Source organism: Homo sapiens, chromosome 8 (genome assembly GCF_000001405.40).
Source record: "Homo sapiens chromosome 8, GRCh38.p14 Primary Assembly".
Classification (NCBI taxonomy): Eukaryota; Metazoa; Chordata; class Mammalia; order Primates; family Hominidae; genus Homo; species Homo sapiens.
In genome coordinates, this window is record NC_000008.11 from 37,717,548 (window position 1) to 37,733,958 (window position 16,411).

General features: G+C 45.2%; 1 long non-coding RNA gene across 1 annotated transcript; it reads left to right on the plus strand.

Moving 5' to 3' along the window:
• The first annotated feature begins 31 nt into the window (after positions 1-31).
• Positions 32-15,946, plus strand: LOC101929622 (uncharacterized). Its single transcript, NR_125820.1, has 3 exons — positions 32-449; positions 9,613-9,743; positions 15,531-15,946. It is a non-coding gene; the product is annotated as an uncharacterized LOC101929622 (long non-coding RNA).

Consider the following 16,411-nt stretch of genomic DNA (forward strand, 5'->3'; position numbering starts at 1 on the left):
TGAACAGAATTCACCTTATTGTTCTAAAAACAGAGTCCCAGGCAACAGGGACAGAGAGACTGGCCCAGCAGGGGCTCTCTGGGCCAACTGAGCAAGGTGACAGGGCCCAGGAAAGGAGCTGTTGCCTGCACAAGGGCAGATGGAGTCAAGGAATCAGTGTTCATGGGATCCTGGCTGTCCCCACAGTGTCGTGGCTGAACCTTACAAGAACAGAAGCAAGTGAAGCACAGGTAGCCAGCCACCTCAAGGGGGAAGTATTGATAACGAAGGGACTCAAAGCAGCATAGACATGGGATGCTGAGGGGCCAAGTGAGCAGAGCAGAGAGTGAGTGCTGCAAGTCCTCGGAGGGGTCAACCGGGACCCAAGCATCCAGAAAAGGCAGGGACCATGCAAAGGGGTCCGAAAAATGGGACCTTCAGTGGAAAGCACTGAGAAGACCATTATTCAGGTGAGGTTTGGGATAAATTCATTCCCACGAACTCCCCTTTGAAAGGCTCGTTCCTCTAAGCATGGATTTCAAACCAGTAGTGTCACCATCACCTGGAAGCCCTTTATTTTATTTTATTATATGTTTTGAGACAGAGTTTTGCTCTTGTCGCCCAGGCTAGAGTGCAATGGCACAATGTCAGCTCACTGCAACCTCTGCCTGTCGGGTTCAAGTGATCATCCTGCCTAGCCTCTCGAGTAGCTGGGATTACAGACATGCACCACCACCCCCAGCTAATTTTTTTTGTATTTTAGTAGAGACAGGGTTTCACCATGTTGCCCAGGCTAGTCTGGAACTCCTGACCTCAGGTGATCCGCCTGCCTTGGCCTCCCAAAGCGCTGGGATTACAGGCGTGAGCCACTGTGCCCAGCCTGGAAGCCCTTTAGAAATACAGACTCAGTAGAACTGTGGTCACTAGAGGGGTGGGGAGGGCAGGGGTTGGGGAGGGAGAGGTTGGCTAACAGATACAAAGTTACAGCTACATAGGAACTAGCAGGAATAAATCCTAGTGTTCTATAGCAGTGTATGGTGATGACCATTAACAAGAATGTATTGTATATTTTCAAATAGCTACAAGAGAGGATTTGGAATGTTCCCAACACAAAGACATGATAAATGTTTGAGGTGATGGATATGCAGATTACCCTGATTTGATCATGACACATTGTATGCAGGTATCAAAATATCACATGGGCCCCATAAACATGTACAATTATTAGGTTGTCAATTTAAAAATACAACTTTTTTTTTTTGAGACAGAGTCTCGCTTTGTCACCCAGGCTAGAATGCAGTGGCCCAGGCTCATTGCAGCCTCCACTTCCTGGGTTCAAGCAATTCTTGTGCTTCAGCCTCCCAGGTAGCTGGGACTACAGGCGTGCACCACCGCACCCAGCTAATTTTTGTATTTCTCATAGAGACAGGGTTTCACCACGTTGGCCAGGTGGTCTCAAACTCCTGGCTTCAAGTGATCTGCCCACCTCAGCCTCCCAAATTTCTGGGATTACAGGCGTGAGCCACAGCACCCAGCCAAAAAATAAAACTTGTTAAAAGGGAATGTAGACTCACAGGCCCCATCCCGATCCATGACTCTAAATCTGCATTTTGACAAAATCCCCTGAGTAAAGTTCAAGTATGAGGAGTGCTGCTCTAAATGCCATGGTCAAGAAGCCGCACACAAAAGCCAGGCCTGACCCAATTACCTAGTGTCTGGTAGTCCCAACATGTGTCCACTTTGCTACTACAAGAAACACAGCCAGGTGTGATGGTTCACGCCTGTAATCCCAGTGCTTTGGGAGGCCTGAGGTGGAAGGATTGCTTGAGGCCAGGAGATCAAGGCCAGTGTAGACAACATCCCAAGACCCGATCGCTATTAAAAAAAAAAAAATTGCCAGGTGCAGTGACGCATGCCTGAAGTCCCAGCTACTCCAGAGCCTGAGGTGGGTTGATCGCTTGAGCCCAGGAGGTTGAGGCTGCAGTGAGCTGTGATTGTACCACTGCACTCCAGCCTGGGAGACAGAGTGAGACCCTGTCTCAAAAAAAAGAATAGAGTATGTTTTTTATATGTATATATAAAAAACACTGTATATATAATATCCTGCTTTTTTTGCTAACCATTATGTTTTAAGCTTTTTTTTCCATACAGCCTCAGCATTTTGATGACTGCATGATATTCTTAGGCTATTTCTAATTTTTCTCTATTTTAAATATATATTATGATTTTTTTAAAAAATCATTTTTTATAAAATGATTTATAAAATCATTTTTTATAAAATGATTTATAAAATCATTTTTTATAAAAATCATTGTGGCTGGGTGCGGTGGCTCACACCTGTAATCCCCAACACTTTGGGAGGCTGAGGCGGAAGGATCACCTGAGGTCGGGAGTTCGAGACCAGCCTGACCAACATGGAGAAACTCCATCTCTACTAAAAATACAAAAAATAGCCGGGTGTGGTGGCTCATGCCTATAATCCCAGCTATTCGGGAGGCTGAGGCAAGAGAATCCCTTGAACCCGGGAGGTGGAGTTTGCGGTGAACAGAGATCATGCCATTGCATTCCAGCCTGGGCAACAAGAGCGAAACTCCATTTAAAAAAAAAAAGGATATATATATATATATATATATATATATAATATATATATAGTGTAGAGCCCAGGCGCGGTGGCTCACGCCTGTAATCCCAGCACTTTGGGAGGGCGAGGCGGGAGAATTGCTGAAGGTCAGGAGTTCAACACCAGCCTGGCCAACATGGTGAAACCTCGACTCTACTAAAAGTAGAAAAATTAGCCTGGTGTGGTGGCAAGCACCTGTAATCCCAGCTACTCAGGAGGCTGAGGCAGGAGAATAGCTTAAACCCAGGAGGCAGAGGTTACAGTGAGCCGAGATTGCACCACTGCACTCCAGCCTGGGTGACGGAGCGAGACTCCATCTCAAAAAAAAAGAAAAAAAAAATTGTGTATGAGTTTGCTAATTAGTTGGATTTAGAGGTCCTATCTCTAAAAAACTAAAATAAAATAATAAATGCTCCTGGGTCTCCTTTCCTCCCAGGAGACCAGGGTTCCCCATGCCTTCGCTGCCTCAATTCCCTGCATGGCCCCGAACCAGGGCTGGGACGCCTTGGGGCATGGGGCTTGGCAGGACAGCAGGACATTATTGGGCCTGAGCACTTGGGCATGGGCCTGGCCGCAGCTGAAAGGTCCTGGGTGGCTCTGCAACGCTTCGCCGCCCGTGCGCTGGAGGGCTCGGGTCACAGGAAGGGGCGAACACCTTGCTCCTGGGGTGTCCCATGTGCAGGTCTTTGTTCCCAGCCAGTGGTTGGAACGTCAGCACCCCATGCTGAGGAATTCCGTTCGTGACTGAGGCCTCATGTAAAGACCGCTGGCCGCCTTCATTCCAGCAGGCATTCCTTGCCCGCTTGATTCCCCCGCTCCAGACACCCTAACTGTGGGAGGGGCAGCCTCAGAAAGTGATAATTAAAAGCTAATGTTTCCCCTGGTGACTCTGGGCCTCGGGATGTCCCTACAGTGACCCCACCTCCCAAATCCTCATACTGAACCATCACCTCGTCCCCACCTGGGCTCCCCTGGGCTTCATTAAATGCTCCTGTGGCCTTAATCCAATCGCCCTCCCCATTCTGAAAGTGTAGGAAAGAATGTGGAAAAGAACCAAGGGCCCCGGGTTCGCATTCCAGCTCCTCTGCTTCTGTGTGACCATGACAATGCACTTCCCATATCCATGCCTTGGTTTCCTCCATATAGAATCAAGGGATTGGATAAAATGGATGATCTCTGAGGTCCTTAGCAGCCGTGACTCTCTGTGACTTTATTTCAGAGAATTATCACTGGGTCTAAATGAAATGAGATCATGGATGTTATAAAACATTGAAAACGTTTAAAACTACACACATATATGACACACATAGGAATAAGGAGTCTCCTTTTCTTTTTTAGTTTTATTTATTTTTTTGAGACAGAATCGTGCTCTGTCACCCAGGCTGGAGTGCAGTGGTGCAATCACCGCTCACTGCAGCCTCAACCTCCTGGGCTCAAGAGATCCTCCCACTTCAGCCTCCCAAGTAGCTGAGACTACAGGCATGTGCTACCACACCTGGCTAACTTTTTGGATTTTTTTGTAGAAACTGGGTTTTCCCATGTTGCCCAGGCTGGTCTCAAACTCCTGGCCTCAAGCAGTCCTCCTGCCTTGGCCTCCCAAAGTGCTGGGATGACAGGCATGAGCCACCGCACCTGGCCAAGAATCTTCTTTTCTCTAATCCCCCAGCAATATGTGTCCTTCTAGTGTTGTTTTGTTTCATGGTCTGTTTTCCCTGCCAGATTGGGAGCAACATGAGGGCAAATGGAGGTGTTTTTTTTTTTTTTTTTTTGAGATGGCATCTCGCTGTCACCCAGGCTAAAGATCTTGGTTCTCTGCAACCTCCGCCTCCCGGGTTCAAGTGATTCTCCTGCCTCAGCCTCTTGAGTAGCTGGGATTACAGGTGTGCACCACCATGCCCGGTTAATTTTTGTATTTTTAGTAGAGACAGGGTTCCACGATGTTGGCCAGGCTGGTCTCAAACTCCTGACCTCAGGTGATCTGCCTGCCTTGGCCTCCCAAAGTCCTGGGATTATAGGCATGAGCCACTGTGCCCAGCCTCTATTTTTTAAATCCCCTCTCAATAACTAACACCCACAAAGCTGCTCAGTAATGTTGACTTGGGGACAGACTGATAACCCCCCTGGCTGCTCATTCATTTAAATGGACTTGTAAGAAGCTTAACAGAAAAGTAGTTACCTTTGCTTCTTAGGAGGGGAAGGGGAAGAACCTCTTTTAAATATATCTTACTTCTTTCAAGGAAAAAAAGTAGTTTGGCCCCTCAAAATTAGTTGGATTTGGAAATTCATATGAAATTTTTAATACTGCCTTGCAAATAAACACATATCAACATGCCCAAGACTTAATTCCATTCCCCAGGCTCTTCTTAAGTATACTGTGTGCTGAATACCAAGCCTCCACTCAATAGTAAGAGAACACAGAAGAGATACTATAAAGTACTAAAATTTTTAAAGCAAACTTAGCAGGACTTAGATATCAAAATAAATATTGTCCCATTCAAAATGTCCCTTTGGAAGGATATACACTCATTCTTATATGTTGCCTTGCTCAAAACTCTTTGGAATGTTTTGAAAGCTATCTTTAAACCATCAGACTTTTAATTGACAATTACAAATCTTTATGTGGTGATTAGCAGGGGAAATGTCTCTCCTGAAGCCAGCCCTGGTGAATAAGCTGGATGATCAGGCTTATTCGGTCAGGTCAAAAATCTAAATAATGTGTGTCTTATAATGAAGTTCTTAATAAGCACATGAGAATCGTATGTAGCCTTCCAACATGAATACGCTGAAGGTCTTCTTTCTCTGAGTTGCACAGGTTCAGCTGCGTCTGTAAAAATCAGTCTCTTGACAGATCTTCTTCTACCCTGGTCCCACTCTCCACCTCCCAACCCCCATCATCTATTCTCAACACTATAGCCAAAAGATCTTTTAGAAACAGAAGTTGCTCATTGGTTTGAAAGCCCATGAGAGCTCCCATCTCATTTGGAGGAGTGGCCAAAGTCCACAGGGTGGCTTCTAAGACCTAGCTCCCTGCACCCTCTCCAATCTCCTCCCACCCCACCGTCTTCTTCAGCAGCTTTGGCTTCAGCCACATGGCCTCCCTGCCATTCCTCAAACACACTAGGATGCTCCTGTCTGGGGCCATTCTCTAGCTGTCCTCCGTTTGGAAACTTCTCTTCCAGAAATCTTCTTGGCCAGCCCCATCATTTCCTTTATGTTTTTGGTAAATTATCACCTTCTCAACGAGACATACTCTGACTTTCTATTTAATACCTCTATTAATAGTGCCTTCTTTTTCATAATGTCTTCTGCTTAATACCTTCTATTTAATAACACACAGACACGCATGGACACACTCACTCCTTAGCCCCAGGACCCTGGCCTTCTTTTCATTTCTTCCCTGGTGCTTATCACCTTCTACCATAATATCTAATTTATCTAATATTATTTATAGTATATCTTTTTGTCTGTACGCTCCTGTGAGAACTAAGCTCAGGAAGGCCAGTATCTTTGTCTGTTTAATCGAATCTCAAAAGCCTAGAACAGGCACATAGCTGGTACTCAATAAAAACATGTTGAATTGAATTGGATTGGATTGCATTGAATCGAATTGGCTTGAATTGCATTGCATTGTGTTGAATGTCCCAACTTATATAAAGTATGCTCCCTGCCTTCCAGTTGCTTGTATATCTGATTGAGAGAACTAGTGACATACACATGAAAGTGACTGAGCAGTACACAGCAGTCCAGGACTAAGTGGAACCTGCAGTGATGCTGCAGGAATCCTGGACGGATGAGTGCCGGCTGGAGGAGGAGAAAGAACCTGAGCTGAGCCTCCCATCTAGTCAAGCAAACCCTCTCCTTGTCCCCAGCATAGGTCCTGTTGTTCTGCTCACACTGGCCCTCTGCCTGAAGTCCCCCACCTTTCCTGCCCACTTACCTAAATGCTATCCACCCAAGTCCCCTTCCTCCTCACCACTTTCCCTGATTACTCCAGCCCTCCTCTGAGCCCCTGTAGCTCCTATATTTTGTTTCAGATCATTTAGCCTTTACATAGAACTGTTCTGTGTGTGTGCATGTCATTTCCCCAGCTAAGAACTACATCTTTTACTTCTCTCTTCTAAATAGGGCCAAGGGCTGGGCACAGTGGCTCATGCCTATAATCCCTGCACTTTGGGAGGCTGAGGTGGGCAGATCACCTGAGGTCAGGAGTTCGAGACCAGTCTGGCCGACATGGTGAAACCCCATCTCTACTAAAAATACAAAAAAATTAACCAGGTGTGGTGGTGTATGCCTGTAGTCCCAGCTACTCAGGAGGCAGAGGCAGGGGAATCACTTGAACCTGGGAGACAGAGGTTGCAGTGAGCTGAGATCGCACCACTGCAATCCAGCCTGGGTGACAGAACAAGACTCCATCTCAAAAAATAAATAAATAAATAGTGTCAATAAAAAATAAATAAATAGTGCAGAGAAAAGAGGAAGGTGGCTTTCCAGGAGGTAAATCTCAAAAACAAAGATACCATGGTGTGAACTGCCATGATGAGTTTACAAATATGACACCAGTACTTTTCAGCCCAAGCTGAGTGAGGCTTGTATCACCTGAAGAGCTTTTCCCAAATATCTCTGGCTGGGCACAGTGGCTTAACCTTGTAATCCCAGTACTTTGAGAGGCCGAGGCGGTGGATCGTTTGAGCCCAGGAATTCAAGACCAGCCTGGGCAACATGGCGAAATCCTACCTCTACTAAAAATACAAAAATTAGCCAGGCATGGTGGCACGTGCCTGTAGTCCCAGCTACTCAGGAGGCTAAGGTGGGGGGATCAAATGAGCCTGGGAGGTAGAGGCTGCAGTGAGCTGTGATTACGCCACTGCACTCCAGCCTGGGTAATAAAGCAAGACCCTGTCTCAAAAAAAAATCCCTGGCCGGGCACAATGGCTCATGACTGCAATCCCAGCACTTTGGGAGGCAGAGGAAGGATCACTTGAGACCAGGAGTTCAAGACCAGCCTGGGCAACAAAGCAAGACCCTATCTCTACAAAAAAATTACAAATTAGCCAAGTGTGGTGGTGCATGTCTGTAGTCCCGGCTACTCAAGAGGCTGAGGTGGGAGGACTGTTTGAGCCCAAGAAATCAAGGCTGCAGTGAGCTATAATGAGACCACTGAACTCCAGCCTTAGCGGCAGAATGAGAACCCGACTCAAAAAAAAAAAAAAAAATCTCCTTGTGGGGGCCTTACCCCAGACCAATGTTATCAGAATATCAGGGAATGTGGCCCAGACATCACCAAATGATTCTAATGTGTAGCTGGAATTAAGAACAACCATTGTATCAGAGAAAACATAAGGAGGCCAGGCGTGGTGGCTCATGCCTGTAATCCCAGCACTTTGGGAGGACCAGGCGGTTGGATCACTTGAGACCAGGAGTTCGAGACCAACATGGGTAACATACCAAAACCCCGTCTCTACTAAAAAATACAAAAATTAGCCAGGCATGGTGTCCCACAGCTGTAGTCCCAGCTACTCGGGAGGCTGAGGGACAAGAATCACTTGAACCTGGGAGGCAAAGGTTGCAGTGAGCTGAGACTGTGCCACTGCACTCCAGCCTGGGTGGCAGAGCAAGACCCCCAGCCTGGGTGACAGAGCAAGACTCCATCTCAAAAAAAAACAAAAGAATAAAGGGGTATATGAAAAATTGGGAAGCCGGCCTAAAATGCTGTAGTTGTGACTATCCCTCCTTTCCATTTTGTTCCTATGAGTTTGTCATGGGAATTTGTCTTTGTCAGGATAGCCTGGATGGATCAACTGTGGACAGATGTGACCATCCTCTGCCTAATGCTATAATGAGTAGCAAGAGGTCAGAGAAGCTATGGAGAGAGCAGACGACACCAACAAATGTGGCCAAGACCAGGGGTCATCTGCACCCACGGAATGCAGAAATGTTTGGGAAAACTAGAGGACTAGTTTAGACCAATTGACAATTTTTGTTGCAATTTCTCCCCTTCCTTGGTTGTTAGCACTCAGGTTACTCTCTCAGGCCTGCCCAGCAGAAGAGCTAAGAAGTGTGTAAATTATCTTGACGTTACTCTTTCAGGAATTCCTGGCTAATTCCTTACACTCCTCCTCCCTCTACATCCTGGGAAACTGAGCAGAAGTTGAATCTTCTCTCTTAAATGTAACCTGGCTCACGTGCACTGAAGAGCATGCAAGAAACTTGACTAACAGAATTAGCTGGGCGTGGTGGGGGGTGCCTGTAGTCCCAGCTACTCGGGAGGCTGAAGCAGGACAATCACTTGAACCCAGGAGGCAATGAGCCAAGATCGCGCTGCTGCACTCCAGCCTGGGAGACAGAGCGAGACTCCATCTCAAAAAAAAAAGAAACTTGAGTGACAGAAGTCCTCATCCTAGTCTGGTCTGTAGATGTCCTCTGCTCCATCTCTCTTCTCCTCCCTCCTTTATGAAAAAACTTAGAGAGACAGACTAAGAAACTAAGCAGCACTTCCCATTGGTTGATTTCAGAGGCACCTGTGCAGACCAGGCCTCTCCTTGCACCACCCTGACTGCACTCTCACACATGAAATATCAATATCACTATTAAAATACAAACATCACTCGTACCCCACTGCCACAGCTAGAGATGGGGCTGAAAAGCCAAGCCCCTCTGAGAGACGAAACGGGGCTTGAATTCAGAGTGAGATGGAAAAAATTGAGATGAAAACTTTTCCTGCCAGCAGGATCTGCTTATTTGGGAATGGTGGGAAGGGAAGGGAAGGGAAGGGAGGGTGGGAAGGGCAGGGAAAAGGAACATAAAGGAAAATATGTTGGCACCTAGTAGCTGAAGGAGGGAGAGAAGGGTGTGCCAGGGAACGAGGGGGCGGGTGTGGAAAGACGAGGCCTGGGTGCTGATGACAGCCTTCCCTGACTCCACCAGCTTGCCAAGACCCAGCCCTAGATCCCAGAGGGGTCACAGCTGAGGTCCCCCCTCCAGAAGCCACTACCTTTCATTTTCTTGCTCCCCAGTCTCTGTGCCCAGAATCACTGTCTGCCAGGCTCTGGCCAACCTGTAGCCTCTCCGTGCTGAAAACGACCCGCTAAAAAAGCCAAGAGGGAAGGACCCAGCACACAGCCGTGAACCACATATACACGAAGAGGTAACTCTAAACTCCAGAGCTGGGCCCAGGAGGAGGGGAAGGGTGGAGGGGGGATGAGGTTTTTCCACTTCCATTCGCAACTGTCAGGCGGGTGATTAATGACCAACAGGTTTGGAATCGCCTCTATTGCCAGATCAGTATTGTTGCCCCTGACAGCTAATGAGGTTGGACAGGCTTCTCCACACTGAGCTTTACAGGCCCGCTCCCTCCCCTGCAGAGCTCACAAGCCCTGCCAGCTTTTGTGCACCGGAATGTTCAAGCCCCACCCCCCTTCATTCCTCCAACACCACCTCCCCCCAACTCCCTGAACCACCATCTCACCCCAAAATCTTGCCCATCCACCAAGGAAGCTGGGTAGTGAGGCTTCAAGCCCCAGCCTGCTCACAGATACCCATCTGTTACACCCACACCCCCAAAAGCCCCTTTCCCATTCCCACTGGAGCTTGAGCAATGGGGCTGGAAGGAAGGAAAAAGAACCAAAGCGAACACTTCAGCCCTTGGGTTTAAGATGATGGAAGGATCTCTGAACACTTGCTTTGGACGGTCTGGCCAGCAAGTTTAACAAGGCCATTCCACAGCCAGCTGTAAAATTCAAGAAGTATTTTATACACTCACGGCTTCAATCTGGCAGATGTGCTAAGGGGGTGAGGATGGAGGAGTGAGAGAACTTGGGAAAGGTGATTTAATAACAGTTAATAATGATTTTTAACCAACCACCTTACGCCTAGATACACAAAGCCAGGTGTCAGTGCAGAAATCAACCTGGTCCTAGGTCTAAGGGTAAGGAAATACTGGCTTTGTTTTCTGCTCTCTTACAAATAATATTTACCTTTGTGCTAGTTCACATCTTGATACGGTTAAGCACGTTTCCCTGTGGTTTAATATTTGAAGGAGTTGGAGCAACATAATAAGCAAACAGCATAAAAAGCCCAGAAAGACCCCCTCAGCTTAAAAATCTATTACTTTTCAGTGTGATATAAATGTATTTTGCTTCTGCTCAGAGCAATTTCCTAGTTTACTCTTATTAAACCAGAAGACGGCTTAGCAGAGTTCTTGATTTATGAAACACATACTAGATTCATTAAAACCTTAAAAGATTTAATACATTTTATCAGGACATTAAATCTGTGCAGGCTTTTTAAATCAAATACCTGCCATATTTCATTCCCCACACCCTGCAAACTTACTTAAGAACACTAAAATGTGGACTGACAAACATTATGGGTGTTTCAGGCCTGATTTCTAAGTGGCAGTAAAGTCCTCCCCTCCAGGATTTATAGCCTGGCTTCTCCCCAAGTCTGGTCTTCCAAAGAACAACTGACTCTCCTCTTTAGAATTTGGTTCGGTAGGATGAGCTGAGATCTACATTTCACACACATATGCACACACATTTCTTCCTCTCCCATTGCATAGCCAACGTTCCTATTATCATGGGTTCTCTAGGACCCCACCCTTCAACACCACTCGCCCATCTTCTATCTTCTTCCAGAACTCCTACTGGCCTCTGCTTCCATGCAGACACACTCCTAACATCTCCTTCTCTCCCTCCCTACTCCCCTGACTCTTAGCCCATACAGAACTGTACCCATGGAACACCTGCCATGCTTTGGGAAGCAAAGCAAAGCCCTCTTATTCTTAATCCCCTCATTTTTAAGTCTATCCACACCACAGTTGTTCTCAGCTGGGGGCAAATTTGTCTCACGCACACACAACTGGGGACATTTGGCAATGCTTGAAGACATATTTGGTTGTCACAACGAGGTGGGGGTGTTGCTACCAGCATCTAGGGATAGAGGCCAGAGAATCTGCTAAACATCCTACAATGCACAAGCCAGCCCCTCTACCCCACATCGTGGAAAAAAGAGAGAAAAAGAAAGAATGAAAGAAAAGAAGGAAGGGGCAGGCATGATGGCTCACACCTGTGATCCCAGCACTTTGGAAGGCCAAGGCAGGATTGCTCGAGGCCAGGAGTTTGACACCTGCCCTGGATAACACAGTGAGACCTCATCTCTACAGAAATAAAGCCGGGCATGGTGGCGTGCACCTGTAATCCTAGCTACTCAGGAGGCCGAGACAAGATGATCACTTGAGCCCAGGAGTTCAAGGCTGCAGTGAGCTATGATTGTGCCACTGCACTCCAGCCTGAGTGAGAGAGTGAGACCCTGGATCTCAACTAAGTAAATAAAATAAAAGAGGGGGAAGAAAGAAATCGAGGGAGGGAGGGAGCAAGAGAGAGGGAGGGAGGAAGGAAGGAAGGGAGGAAGGGAGGGAGGGAGGGACGGAGTGGGGGAGACTGTGAGTGTCTAGAACCTTACCAGGCATAAGTGGTCTCCTCCACTCTCCTTCATTGCTTTCACACTTAGGATTGTGGCTCATAGATAATAGTTGTTTCAATAAATGTTTACAGAGTCAAACTAAATCTCTGTCCTAACACACTGACATTTTCCAAAATCACAAATGTAAGGGAAAAAAAATTGGATTTACAATCAGTTGATCTGCCTGTGACCTTGAGGAATGGCTGAAGCCCTCTCTCCTGTGTGTCCTTATCTGTGAAATGGAGTTGTGGTGGTATTACCCTCATGGACTATTATGAGCATTCAATGAGCTGGTGTAACTGACAGCGATTTTACATTCTAAAAGGTCATGGGATGTTTATTATTTTTGTTGACAAACACTTATTGAGTGTTTATTGTATGCCAGGAATTATGTTAGACCCTCGGGGGGTGGGACAGATACAAAGATGAATAGACAAGCTCCTGCCCTCGCAGATCTTAGCCTTGTAAGAAGCACAGACAAAAACTAGAATGTTTCAGTGTATTATAATGAGTGTCGTATGACAAGAATGCACAGGATATTGTGGACACAGAGAAGAAACACCTAGAAGGGTCTTGAAAGATGAATAAGGCCGAGCACAGTGGCTCACGTCTGTAATCCCAGCACTTTGGGAGGCCTAGGTGGCTGGATGACTTGAGGTCAGGAATTCGAGACCAGCCTGGCCAATATGGTGTAAACCCCGTCTCTACTAAAAATACAAAAATTAGGCAGGCATGGTGGCACATGCCTGTAATCCCAGCTACTCGGGGTGCTGAGGCAGGAAAATCACTTGAACCCAGGAGGCGGAGGTTGCAGTGAGCTGAGATGGCACCACTACACTCCAGCCTGGCCTGGGCGACAGAGGAAAAAAAAAGAAAAAGAAAAAGAAAAAAAGAAAGAAAGACAGATGAATAAGAGCTGGTCTAGCAAAATAAAAAAAACTGCAGAATAAGATCATAAAAGCTGCAGTTATAGGCAGGGGATCACATCATTAAAAATCTTATATGAAAAGTTAAGAGGATTTGAACTTTTTTCGGTAGGAAACTTATTATGATGTTTTTAAGCAGAAAAGGGATCCATCAAAGAACACATGGGGGTAAACTGTGGACAACACACTGATTTAAGGGTAAATGGAAGGTGGGGGTGAGGAGATAGCTAACATTAGATTATTACAATAATCCAGGTGATAAAGCCCTGAATTGCCTGGAGAGGAAAGCCCAGGGTCAAGGAATAACTACGATGGATGGGGAAGATTAAAGACAGTGGCTGAGTGTCTACCCTGGATGGTTGAGTGAATGGTGGCGTCTTTAGTGGGAGGAGGATGTTTGAAGGGAACTATGAGTTCCGTTTTAGAGATGATCTCTTTCTCCCTGTCCAAAATCCAAAGAAATGGTATTCTAGTGTGTAGCTTGTGGTTATCAATATGTATTTAGGAGCATCACCAGCGACCACATAATTAGAATATGGAGAACACAAGAGGCCTTCCAGAAAGAGACAATAGAGAAAAGAAGAGCAGTAGGGGCCGGGTGCGGTGGCTCACCCCTGTAATCCCAGCACTTTGGGAGGTCGAGGCAGGTGGATCACTTGAGGTCAGGCATTCAAGACCAGCCTGGCCAACATGGCGAAATCTCGTCTCTACTGAAAATATAAAAATTAGCCGGTCATGGTGGCGGGCACCTGTAATCCCAGCTACTCGGGAGACCGAGGCAGGAGAATCACTTGAACCCAGGAGGCAGAGGTTGCAGTGAGCCAAGATTGCGCCATTGCACTCCAGCCTGGGCGACGAGTGAAATTCCGTCACAAAAAAAAAAACAGAAAAGAAAAGAAAGAAGAGCAGTAGGTCAAGGACACAAGGACAGAGTTCTGAGGAATAGTTGAGGATGAGCTCAACTAGAGATTAAAAATAGGAAAATTCAGACAAGTAGACAGAAACCCAGGAGGGAGGGAGTGATTCACAGAGGCCAAGGGAGGAAGAGTCTAAGAATTCAGGGGACAAATCAATAGCACCACGTGCATCAGAGAAAGCGACTGAAGGGTTAAGAACAAGGGAATGGAAAGTGAGGAAGTAACGACATCAAGTGTAGGCTACTTTTTCAAGAAACTTTGCTCAAAGGGAAGGAGACAAATCAGGTAAGAACTAGAGGCTTACATAGGATCAACGGAGAGGCTTAGAGGGAAGGGCGTGGAGAAATTGCACAAGATTATAGGCTGTGGCTAAAGAACTGGTAGAAAGAGGAGATAATTAAAGGCTCTAGGTCCCTGAGGAAAGAGGAGGGATACGATTAAGAAACCAGGTGAAAAAAGATTGGCCTAGAGTAAACATGGGTTACCTTATCCTCTGAGACTCACATCGCCGTATACAAGGTATCTCTTATATACAGCAAAAAAGAAGTCTATCAATGACATAGAGAGATGTGTAAATACATATATGTAGATAAAATTTCATATAATCTTTTAAAAAAAATTCCTGTTACTGTAAGTTCAGAGTTGGAGGGTTAGAGATGTCAAAGGAAAGGTCATCCCAGGCAAATCAGGCCAAGCCAAAATGCAACTGCCAGGCTTGTTGGAACAAAATCTCAAGGTCACAGGCTACTCTTCTCATCACCCCTCAAATGCAGTAGGAACCTTAGCCAAGCCCCCTTTCTGAAGACTTCTTCTCCCTGGACTTCTCTACAAGTAAAATAAATGGGTTGGATTAAAATCATAGGCAATAACCTATCTGTCCATCAACAGGTGAGTGGATAAACAAATTGTTGTATAGCTACACAATGAAACACTACACAGCAATAAAAAGGAATGAACTCTTGATAGACTCAACAACATGGATGAATCTCAAAATAATTATTCTGGGTTTTCAAAAAAGCCAGACCCTCCCCCACAAAAAAGGGTACATACTATACAATTCCATGCATATAAAATTCTACAAAATGCACACTAATCTAGAGTGGCAAAAGAAGATCAGTGGTCTTTTGAGAATCGAAAAGGGGGTGTACCAAAGAGGGGTAAGAGGGAGAGATTACAAAGAGGCATGGGGAAATTTGGGGCCATGATGCATGTGTTCATTATACTGATTGTGGTAATGGCTTCACAGGTATTTGCAAGTCAAAATGTAAATTGTAGACTTTATGAACAGTTTATTACATGTCAATTATATCTCAATAAAGCTGTAAAAATGTGTAATCACAAAAGGACCTTTAGGTGCCTTCTAGCTGACTTTCAACTCAATTTTTTTCCTGATGGCTCTTTGATCTCTTTACCCAATGCCTTGAAGAAACATCATTAGCCCCAAGCAAATATGCTTTTGTTCTTGGAAGGCACCAATCCCGGTTTTTGCAACTGAAAAAAAAAGAAAAGAGGAAAAATTTCTGAGCCCCCTTAATAACTAAGGATACAGTTCACTCCTCTTCCCATAAGCTCACCAAAATCTTACTGGAATCAAATGTTCTAAAAGATTATTTCTATTCCCTGTTTTAGGGCCTAAAGTGAAAAAGATAAACTTTAAATCAAACGGAAACTTTTTCCAGCAACTTCCACTCTTGTGATACTGAACTGAACTGAAGCAGAAGATTTTAAGAGTTGCCTGAATCCTTTGGACCTGCTTATTGGCTTAAAAAGTCTAATTGTGAAATTGACTTAAAAATTCCTAATTGTGAAAGAAGGGGTCTCTTCTTTGGCATGGCACTCTCACTAACAATTTTCTTGGTAAGAGGACCCAACAAACAGCAATAGAAATAGAAAACTATGGATTGCTAGGTGAGAGTATTTTTTAACCTGCTTCAATCTACAACTGCAAAATGAACTGGCCCAATTTAATTAGAAAAATTTCAGTTTCTGACCACTGATCTACATTACTGAAAGGTTACATGTGAAATAAATGTGGGGTGTGTGTGTGTGTTTGTGTCTGAAATTGAATCATTTTCTAACTCATTCACTATAAAAAAGAAATAGACGGGATCATTTGAACTCTGCCTTTGCAATTTATCATCTTCGTGATCTTAGACAATCTCTTAATTTCTCTAAGCTTCCACTTTCTCCTCTAAAATGGAGTTGAACTCAAAGGGCTGACCTAAAGTTTACATAAAATGAGAAAATGTAAGGTACTGGGGCTGATACATAGACAGTATTCAATAAAGCTTTATGAAATCTGTATTGTAAATATCCATTGAGGTATAATTTCAGAAGCCTTTATCTCTTCTTCTGATAAGCCTTCATTTGGTTATTATTTAATACCATACAACTTAAAGTTTATCATTCTCTCGCCCTGTGTCACATTAATAATCTGCAATGATAACCCACAAACATGCAAGAATACATTAAGGGAATTTGCTATTTAAAACAGCAACAGCTAACACTTG